Raw genomic sequence first — 10,970 nt, 5'->3', positions numbered from 1 at the left:
TGGATGGGAATAATTAATATTGTTAAAATGTCCATACTACTGAAAGCAATCTACAGATTTAATGTAATCCCTATCAAAATACCAATGACATTCTATATGGAAACTGAAAAAACATCCTGAAATTTATATGGAACCACAGAATACCTCAAATAGCTAAGGCAATCTTGAGCAAAATGAACAAAACTGGATGCATCATATTGCCTAACCTCAAAATCTACTACAAAGCTATAATAACCAAAACAGCATGGTACTGTCATAAAAACAGACACGTAGGCCAATGGAAGAGAATGGAGAGCCCAGAATTAAATGCATGTATCCACAGCTGATTTTTGACAAAAGTGCCCAGAACAAACACTGGGGAAAGGACAGTCTCTCCAATAAATGGTGCTGAAAAAATTGGATATCCATGAGCAGAAAAATAAAACTACATCCATATCTCTAACCAAATTCAGAAATCAACTCAAAATGGATTAAAGCCTTAAATGTAAGAACCAAGGCTATGAAACTACTAGAAGAAAACATAGGTAAAATGCCTCATCACATTGGTCTAGTCAATGATTATTTTAGATAAGATTTCAAAAACACAGGCAACAAAAGCAAAAATAGACAAAGGAGATTACATCAAACTAAAAAGCTTCTTTACAGCAGAAGAAACAATTGAGTGAAGAGACAACCTACAGAAAAAGAGAAAATGTTTACAAACAATAAATGTGACAATAAGTTAATATTCAGAATGTCCAAGAAACTCAAACATCTAAATGGCAAAGAAGCAAACAGTCCAAATTAAAAATGGGCAAAAAACATTAAGAGACAGTCCAAATTAAAAATGGGCAAAAAACATTCAGAGACATTTCTCAAAAGAAGACATATGAGTACCAAACAGGTACATTGAAAAATGTTCAGAAGCATCAATCACCAAGGGAATGCAAACGAAAACACAATGCGTTATCATCTCACTTTACTTAGAATGGCTACTATGAAAAGAAAAAAGATAGCAAGTGTTGACAAGGATATAGAGGAAAGGGAACACTTACACAGTGTTGATGGGGATGTAAACTACTACAGCCACTAAGAAAAGCAGCATGGGTGTTCCTCAAAAAACTAAAAATATAACTATCATATAATTCAGCAATTCCAATACTGGCTATATATCCAAAGGAAATGCATGGTGGCTCATGCCTTTAATCCCAGCACTTTCAGAGGCCAGGATCAGAGAACTGCTTAAGGTCAGGAGTTCAAGGTCAGCCTGGGCAATGTAGTGAGACCTTATCTCTATTAAAAAAGAAAAGGAAAGAAAAATTCAGGTGTGGTGGTGCATGCCTGTAGTCATAGCTACTTGGGAGGCTGAGGTGGGAGGATCACTTGAGCTCAGGAGCTCGAGGCTGCAGTGAACTATGATCCAGCCGCCGCACTTCAGCTTAAGCAATGGCAAATTCCTGTCTAAAAAAAAAAATGAAATCAGTATGTTGAAAACTTATCTGCATTCCCAAGTTTATTGCAGCACTATTCACAATAGTCAAGATTTCAAGTAACCTAAGTGTCCATCAATAGACAAATGGATAAAGAAAATGTGGTATATATACACAGTGGAGTACTATTCAGCTATTAAAAAAATTGAAATCCTGTCATTTCCAACAACATGAATGGAACTAAAGGTCATTATGTTAAGTGAAATAAGCCAGACACAGAAAGACAAACTTTGCATGTTCCCACTTATTTATGGGAGCTAAAAATTACAATTGAACTCATAGAGATAGTAGAATGATGGTTATCAGAGGCTGGGAAGGGTAGTGGATAGGGGTGGGGAGTGGGATGTTCAATGGGTACAAAAATATAGCTAGATAGAATGAATAATATCTAGTATTTGATAGCATAACAGGGTTACTACAGTCATCAATAATTTATTGTACATTTAAAAACAACCAAAAGCATATAATGGAAATGTTTGTAACATTGAAATGATAAATGCTTGAGATGATGGATCCCCAATTTACTCTGATGTGATTATTACATATGGTATGTCTGTATCAAAATATCTCATGTACCCCACAAATATATATATATATATATATGTGCCCATAAAAATTAAAAATAAAAGAATTTTAAAGAATGGGGAACTTCTTCAACTTGACAAACAGCAACCAGAAAAAGCTATAACTAACACTTAGTGATGAAAGGCTGAATTGGAATGCTTGCCTCCTGCAATTGTTAAGGATGTCCACCCTCACCAGTCTTATTCAACAGGGCTAGATATTTTTGCCAGTGAAGTAAGACTTAAGAAAAGAAAACAAATGACATACATATTATACAGAAAAAATTAAACTGTCCATATTGAATGCACAGTTTCTACCAGGGAAACATACATGGGAGATAAATAAGTTATGATAACTCATAATTGGATTGAACTTGGATTGAACTTTCAATTTTGAGCTCTTGCCTCTTTCTATGTGAAAAATTCTCATCTATATTCAGTTTTTGCTTCTCCAAGATTTGTTTTATTCTTTTCTTCTTTACTTCCTATTTTTTAAATCTTGGAGTTTCTAAATCTCTTTTAAATGTTTGAAAATAAATCAGACATTTAATCTCATTGCTTGCCAGGATGCATTCTAATAGATTCAATTATTTTCCTATTTATTATTTTCATTTTGTATGAATCTATAGTTAATCTTAGTAATGGCTTATTTTTATTTCAGTGACTAAATTTTCACTGTCAAATTTTCTATTTTAGTATGTTTATATCTACTAGTACTTATTCAATTTCAGCCCACTGTCTTTTTTATTATTATTATTTCTTGCATACAGTAGTTGAGAACTCAGTTCTGGAGTCAGATTGCATAGGTTCAAATGTGGACTCTTTCACTTATTATATAAGGTTGGACAAATAACTTAAACTCCCCTTGTCTCAGTGTCATCGTTTGCAAAATGAGTGTTTTTCTCTTACTATTGTCATAAGAATTATTGAGTTGTTATATGTAAAGCTCTTGGAACAATGTCTGGCATATGATGGTCTACACATAAATGCTGAGAATATTACTCTATCTTAATAATGTTATTTTCTCATATGTCTCTTGTAGAATCTGAAAAATATTTAATTTTTCAGACATTCCTCAGATTTTATTTTCAGCCAAAGCAAATACATATTCAATACATTAATTTCTTTTTTATTATTATTACCAAGGCATTTATTTATTTATATGGTTTGTAATTTTCATTTGAAAGCTTATTTTGAGTAGGAAGTTTCTATTGAAATTTTCCCCTCTTCTTCCTTCTGTTCCTTCCATTTCATGTATATCACTATCCTAAAATCAGGTCGCATCCCAGAGCTTCTTTTTCTATATTACAAATATCGTAGCTCACAAAAATAATCAAACTTGAGTGACAATTTGCTATAGCTTTGTTCCTTCCTTTCCTGTCTTAGCTACATATTTCAAGTTAAGAAAATCAATTCTGTTGATCATGCTTTCCGCCACATTCCCCATCCCCATCGCCCCATGCACAGATCCAAAGATTTCCAGCTCCTGGAAGAAAATTCTTGGTTATAGATTCAGCTGTCATTCTATGCTTCTATCAGATGTTCAGAAGGAAATTTAGTATATCATGTTTTACTGCAGTTTGGCTTTTAAGAAAATTTATTCCTTCTATCAGAGGAATATAGGAGTAGAAGAACTATAGGCAAGGCCCTCCCCCAGTATCAGGCAAAGAATGTGGTACTCTGTCCTCATTCACCAGGTACCTCTCAGCAAAGAACTTCCCTAAATAAGTCAGAAACTGCACAGAAAACCAAAGTAGAATAACTGAATGCAGAAAAGCAGAGTAAGGAGAAAACATTTTCAAACTGTAAAGTAAACATTTTTTTAAAAGATTCTCTATGGAAGTCAAGCCATGGTAAAACAATTAATTACTATATCAATATAAGTGTAGCTTTTATTATTATTTTACCAAAATATTCTTTTCTATCCTGTTAAAAAGCTACTTATTGATAGCACATCATTGCTTGAAAATAGAAGCCACATATTCTGAATTTTAGTTCAGTTAATTCTGGCATTGAGACAACATCCACCTCTTGAAGTTAAGCAAAATGTTTCCTTAGCCATTTTGCAAACATATTTTAATCATGAATAAAATATGAATCATTAAAAGTAAATTATTTTGCATAATTTTTATCCTGTTTATACAAATCTAGAACCACCTGTTTTGCATTAAAGGTTTTTAACCCTATTAAAAAGAACAAAAATTAATTTTATTATCATAACCGCTAAAAGGCACACATAATCTTCCATTAAGACATGGAAGCAGCACGAGCAGTTCCATTTTTAGATGCTCTTCATCTCTAATTCTCAACAGCTCTGAACATTAGCTTAATACAGTAATTGACTTCCAGTGCACCTGGCCTGGCAGGCCTTGTTGAATGAGATCTGAAAGTGCTCAATTTTACAGGTCATTTAAAAAGTATTGTGGTCTTGCTGATTTCTTCTGGACACAAGCTGCAGCGGCTCCCTTTCCCTGCAGTCACTGCTTTGCTTAGAGAATGACTTCCTTGAGAACCCTGCAGGAAAGAGGCTGGCTTTAGAGCTATGGCTCCTGCAGATTCTGAGAGGGGTCTACGTATTCTTGGATTGCTCTGTAAAATATTCATATAATATATTATGAGCATCTTAAAAATGAGCCTACGGTATTCAGTGTAATGGTTTCTTGCCAGAGAAATGGCTTGGGTGAAAAAGAGATAAAGACTCTTAGTGCTGGGAAATAATGAGATTTACAATCCTTTCTATTGATTTCTGCTGATAAGGTATGTGATAGGTTTCTCAGCCATTCTATAAGGATTAAAAATTAATCTACTTTGATTATTGTCATTATCAATATGCTTCTTAATTAGTAACACTTTTCTCTGAAAGAATCTATATACTTTAAGATAAGAAGGGCACACAGCGAAGTGATTTTTTTTTCTAAATCAGTTTTGTAAAACCTGAAAAGTTTTATGATCTGACTTTTTGTCTTCTCCCAGAATTATAGGTCAGAAGCAAGAATTTAGAGACAAAAGCAGTTTTCTTTGTGTAATTCAACCATTTTATAGCCTTTTCTTGCCATCCACGTGGGCAAGGGCAAGAACAAGGATGAAACAAGCTCATGCTTAATTCCCCTACACCCAAAATGACACATTATTCTTACTCATATTCTATGTTGAAATGAGTCACAGAAACCCACATAGACTCAGATTGACTGACAATTTTATATAGGCATATGACACACGCAGGCGTTGTAAACAATAATATCCTTTGACATATTCACAGACACTTTTTGTTTACTCATTATTTTTTCTCTCTCATGAAATGAAGGAAAGAACATTTCAAACACTTAGTAATAGCTGGTCAGCTGAAGTGGCCAGTGAAACAATCAAACATTTGCAGTCTCAGCCATATGATCACTTAGCTTAAGTATGTCGTGCAGCCACCACTGGGAAGAGCAACCTGTTTCTATTCTCCTGTTCTCTTTTTAAGCGTAAAATTTACCTTTTCAATGTGCAGTCCTGTGAATATTAACAAATGCGTATAGTGTTGTAACCATTGCCACAATCAAGATTCAGATCACTTCCATCCCCATTTCCTCTGGACTCCCTGGCTCTCCTATGGTTTCTTGATTTCTTGGTCTTCATGCAAAACATAGATCTGGGGAGAAAACTAGTCTAAAATGAGAATGAATTTCTTTTTGTTCTTAAAGCACAATTTGGACTGCTGGTGCAGCCTTTTGGTCTCCAGTTTCCCTTCTGCTCTGTTCCCCTTTCCCTTAGTCTTATATAAATTATTCCCGTATGGATCTGGTTTGGTTGTACACTTTTTCCGTATAGCCTGAGTGTGCTTGTTGAAAATAGCAATCAACAGAGTGAAAATGGGAAGTGCCAAACAAAAGGAACCAGGATCCTGAAATTTTTCATTTTATCTCATTGATGATATTTGCTCAATGAGGAAGTAATACTAGAGAAGAGAGAACTCCTCCTAAGGAATAAGAAAAATCTCCATTCTGTGTGTGTTTTTTTTTCTTTTGAATAGTTTAACTCATCCTTCTTCTCTTTTAATCTCTAACATGTTTCCGTCTTCCTTTTCCCTTTTATCTCTTCTACTTTTCTTCCCAAATAAATACATATATAAATTTGCTGATAAAATATGTTTCCTCAAGTGGCAAGAGAAGAGCAACAAACAAATTAGAAGTCATAAGATTTGGGTAAAATTGAGAATTTTGGAAAGATTCTCATTGACAACCAACATATGTAATTAAATGACTCAATTTTAAAGCTATACCAAACATTTTACATTTATTAATTCTTAATCCTTATGGCCCAGAATTGGATTCAACAAAGTACATTCCAGTACCGAGAAGTAACTTTTAAAATTTAGTTCAAGCTCGTGTCTATTGACATGCATTAATGGTGATCCAATGAATAAGTTGTCACAATACTTGTAAAAATTTCCTTTTCTTTACACCTCATTCTCTTTTTTAAAAAAATTATACTTTAAGTTCTGGGATATACGTGCAGAACGTGCAGGTTTGTTACGTAGGTATACACATGCCATGGTGGTTTGCTGCACCCATCAACCCGTCATCTACATTAGGTATTTCTCCTAATGCACTCTCATTCTCTTACAGTTCTATGGTTGCCCCAGGTATCTCACCTGCTAAACCTCGCCTCCTCCACACTTTCTATTGAGTTTTTTTTGTTGTTGTTTTTCTGAGACATGGCCTCACTCTGTCACCCCGACTGGAGTGCAGTGGCGCCAACACAGCTCACTGCATCCTTGGCTCCCTGTTCTCAAACCATCCTCCCACTTCAGCCTCCCAAGTAGCTGGAACTACAGGTGCAAGCCACAATGCCCAGCTATTTTTTTTTCTTTTGTAGAGACTGGGTCTTGCCATGTCGCCCAGGCTGGTCTCAAACTTTTGGGCTCAAGGAATCCTCCCACCTCAGCCTCCCAAAGAGCTGAAATTACAGGGGGGAGCCACCATGCCTGGCCCATATTTTCTTAAAGGTCATAAACACAATAATTTATTCTCATTATTCTATTTCCTTCCACCTTTTCAGTTGTATCTCTTTACTTCATTTTCTTGAGGCAAACAATCCTTACCATAATGTCTAGGAATCATATTGAAAAGACAGAATTTCATTTAGAATAGGGTAAGAGAGAGAAGCTTAAGAAGCCCCACCCCCACCCCCAAAAACAGATCTTTGCACGGACAGAGAGGCTAGGGATAAATACGGTGTCCCTGTCACTAAAAAGTGCACGCCATGAAGGCAGAGCATGCTTTCAGTTTGTTTACTGCTGCATTTCCATTGCATATAACAGTGCCTAGCCCAAAATAGGTACTCAACAAATATTTGCTCAAAAAATCTATGAGCTTAATCATCCACTCTTTCTTGTACTCATTTAATTAATGTCTTTTGCTCCTGACAGCTATTCTATTATTTAGGTCATGTAGTTTCTTTGATTTCATAGGCTAATTTCGTGTTGTAATGTCTTATCCTTAATGATGTAGAAAGCATATCCTGAGAAGGAGCTTATATAATGACACTCGAATGAAAAAAGCAATCCACGATGCAAAGGTGGGAGGAAAGGAGGAATGAGACAAGGAAAGCACACATAAGAGCTATTAAGTAAGCTGGTTACAGCTTTGTAACAAGTGCATTTGGTTTCTCAGTGTCACAAGACATCTTCCCAGAGGTATGTGAACTATTAAGGAACAGAAAAACCCAGGAGCTTTGGGGAAAAGAGAGACAAATTCGTCCACTGGCTTTCTTCTACCCCTATCTCCCACTAGTTCAAATTAAATTTTCCACACTTTCTGGTTGAGTTACCTGGCTTCTACAAGGAGCTGTTGGAAAAGCAATAGTTCCATAAACCCCAGCCAGCCAATGCACAGTTATAGTGGTTGCTCTTTGCCAGTAGGACATTACATTGGTAGCAGGAGTGACAACCTGGCTCCAGATCTCTGGCAAAATGCAAACTGCTCCTCAGACCTCTCTAGCCGGAATACTGGGCAAGTGTGCAACTTAGTATGAGCATAAACTAAGTCTGCTACTACTAGCAATTCAAGTCTAGGAGAGGTTAAATGCCCTGCAAGGTGTAAATGGCTGAACTAAGACTTGAACCCTAGGAATCTTTATAACACAACTATCTTGTTCCATATAAAGTTTTCTTTTAATCTCTTCCTAGTTCTAGGTTTATAAACTTAAATCAAGAAGAAACTATATAAAAAATTTAAAAAGGAAAAAGTAGATTTGAAGTCCTATTAAATACACAAGTACACACACACACATGCATACACACACAATCACCTAGAGAGAACGGTGTTTTTGGAGCTCTGCTTTTTCTTGGAAAAAGTTTCATTAATCAGCAATGCATTTTTAGCCAAATAATTAAAAGTTAATCTGAGGAATCATGTTTAATTGTTTTATCTGTTTAATACAATACCATGCTTTATCAGTTCCAATGCTAAAAAGTACATATTTGGGAAAGGATGAAAGAAAAGACACCATCAACACTAAATCGGTTATTTACTAACTGAAATCGTGTGTGCAGATAATTGGCCCTTTGGAATAAATACAAATTTTCTCTGTTCATTATATTATAGGGGTTCTGAGGAACCAGAAGACATCCAGAGCTTATAGCTAACTTATTGTCCCTTAATTTCTGATTATAGTATTTACATAGTGGTAGGATCCAATTTAAGTATGAATCATAATGCCCCTGAGGATTGTGTGAAAGCATTCATAGCACTCTGCTACCATGAATGGGATCAGGGATGACACAATGTTTATTACATTTTCCCCAGGAAACTGCCAAGATAGGAATTAACATAAGACTTAAAAAGGGAGTGATAAAGACCCATTTTGAAATAACTACTTCAGGGTTCATTTCCTAAAGACCAAAGGTGTGTGCTGGGAAAGTAACTTATATTCATTTATGTGAGAGCAGTTTATAATAGATTAATAACTAATTGAGAACTAGAGTCTCTATATATGGCACAGGACTCCCATCAGCTGCCAAGAGGAAATGCTCCTTAACTTCTGCTGTGTTGGAACTATAATCTGGAGCTACTGTTTCATTTCTGATACTGGATTATGCTTATTCCAATAATCTGGCAGCATATGAGAGTGCCCCAACATTTTTCTCTCCCAGGCTCTTTCTTCTCACCATCCAAAAGACTTTGTCTTTATCTGCTAATTTTTTTTATATCCTTAGACTCTTTCCTTAGTTACCTCAATTCGTGATTGCATTTTCTAATGGCTTTTAATTTCAAAACTGCATTTTCCAGGTCTATAATTTATCTTTGGTTCTCCTTTATGTCTTCTATTTCGTTGCTAAGATTTTCTGTTTTGTATTTGTTTCTAGAATATATTGACAATGAGATACTTTTTATCATATTACATTAAAATTTTATCCAAAAATTCCATCATTCATGTTATCTCAGTCTTGGTTAGGCATCAAGTCTATCAAATGTCTTTCCTCATTCAAGCTGAGATTTTCCTTTCTCTCGCTATGTGAAGTTAATTTTGATTGTATCCTGAACATTATGCATGTTGCTTTACAAGACTCTGATTCTTACTTAGATATTATTATTTGTGACTGCTACACTGGGATAGTAATCAGATTCCACTCATAGACATGCATCTTCAGACACACTCCAGCTAGGAGGAGGAGATGCCTCTTTACTGCCAGTGTGAGATGGTAGATAGACTCAGTTCTCAGGTACAACTTCTAAACTACTAGTTAATGAGTTAAGAGGTCAGCAAAGAGATGGGGCTGCTTTGTTGCTTGGTTGGGATGACAGAAAAACTCAGCTCCCACTCACAGCCCTCGTGGACGGTGGTATGCTGAAAGAGCAAGCTGATTCATTTTTAAGGTGGAATGATAGACAGATTTATCTCTCAGGTACAGCTTCTGTAGATATCTATGGCTGAAAAATAGAGCTGCCTCATTACTGGAACAGAATGATGAATAGACTCAGCTCTCAGGCAATGCCCACCCTTGTAGGTGGAGTTGCTTCATTGCCTAGGCAGGAGAGAGTTAGGCTCTGCTCATACACATAGCCCTTACAGATGCCCAACAACCATTAGGTGAAGCTAGCCGTCATATCCAGGGTTGAATGGAGCACACACAACCTCTGAGACTTCCTCTAACCAGGAAATAGGGCTTTGCCCATGCAGCTCCAGTGTCCACTATTAATTAGAAATCTAAATAATATTTATAAATCATAATAATCATATTGTAAATAGGGTGATGGTGGAGGGCAGTTTTTTATGTGGTGTTCAGAAGTAAAGCCCATGTTGTCAAAATGTCTGTCCTACAGGGCCTCCTTCTCTCCCCTAGCCAAAGACAGCAGGCTTATCCTGTTTTGCTTTGTTTGTTCAGTTTTGTTTGTTTTCTGTATGTGTCTGTTGGTATTTTGAGGTTGCAACTTTCTCCTATGCCCAGACCACAGCAAGAAAAAAAGAAGACAAAAACAAACAAACAAAACCAAGGTACTAGCCACTAAGTAGCTCCTTTGGCCCCTGACATTTCTTGGCAGACTACCTTCTTATCTGCCCCTTTTAGAGTCTTCTACAGTTTGTTTCCTTTATCTTTTCCAGGATTTTAGACAGGAGGACTAAGATGGAAATGTGCTTACTCCAATTTTATAAAACCAGATGTCTCCACACTTACTTTCTAATAATTCAACCAAATAAATCTGATTTGAGATACTTTATGTACAGAACCACAGCCTTTTCCTGATTATAATTAATATGGTTTGGCTGTGTCCCCACTGAAATCTCATCTTGCACTGTAGTTCCCATAATCCCTACATGTCATGGAAGGAACCAGACGGGAGGTAATTGAATCATGGAGGCAGTTACCTTCATGCTGTTCTCATGAGAGTGAGTTCTCATGAGATCTGATGGTTTTATAAGGGATTTTCCCCCAATTTTTTCTGCACTTCTT

The 10,970-nt window shown here is 36.1% G+C and overlaps 1 annotated feature.

The window, feature by feature from the left end:
• Positions 4,568-5,767: an enhancer, noted in NCBI's record as "CDK7 strongly-dependent group 2 enhancer chr2:209736923-209738122 (GRCh37/hg19 assembly coordinates)". NCBI's record gives its function as "activates an origin of replication core promoter dependent on BRD2, BRD4, P300/CBP, MED14 and CDK7 cofactors, with strong dependence on CDK7, by STARR-seq in HCT116 cells {active_cell/tissue: HCT116}" and the evidence as "EXISTENCE:reporter gene assay evidence [ECO:0000049][PMID:35650434]".

Source organism: Homo sapiens, chromosome 2 (assembly GCF_000001405.40).
Source record: "Homo sapiens chromosome 2, GRCh38.p14 Primary Assembly".
Lineage (NCBI taxonomy): Eukaryota > Metazoa > Chordata > Mammalia > Primates > Hominidae > Homo > Homo sapiens.
The sequence above is the reverse complement of the archived record's forward strand: the minus strand, read 5'-3'. Positions and strand labels throughout refer to the sequence as shown.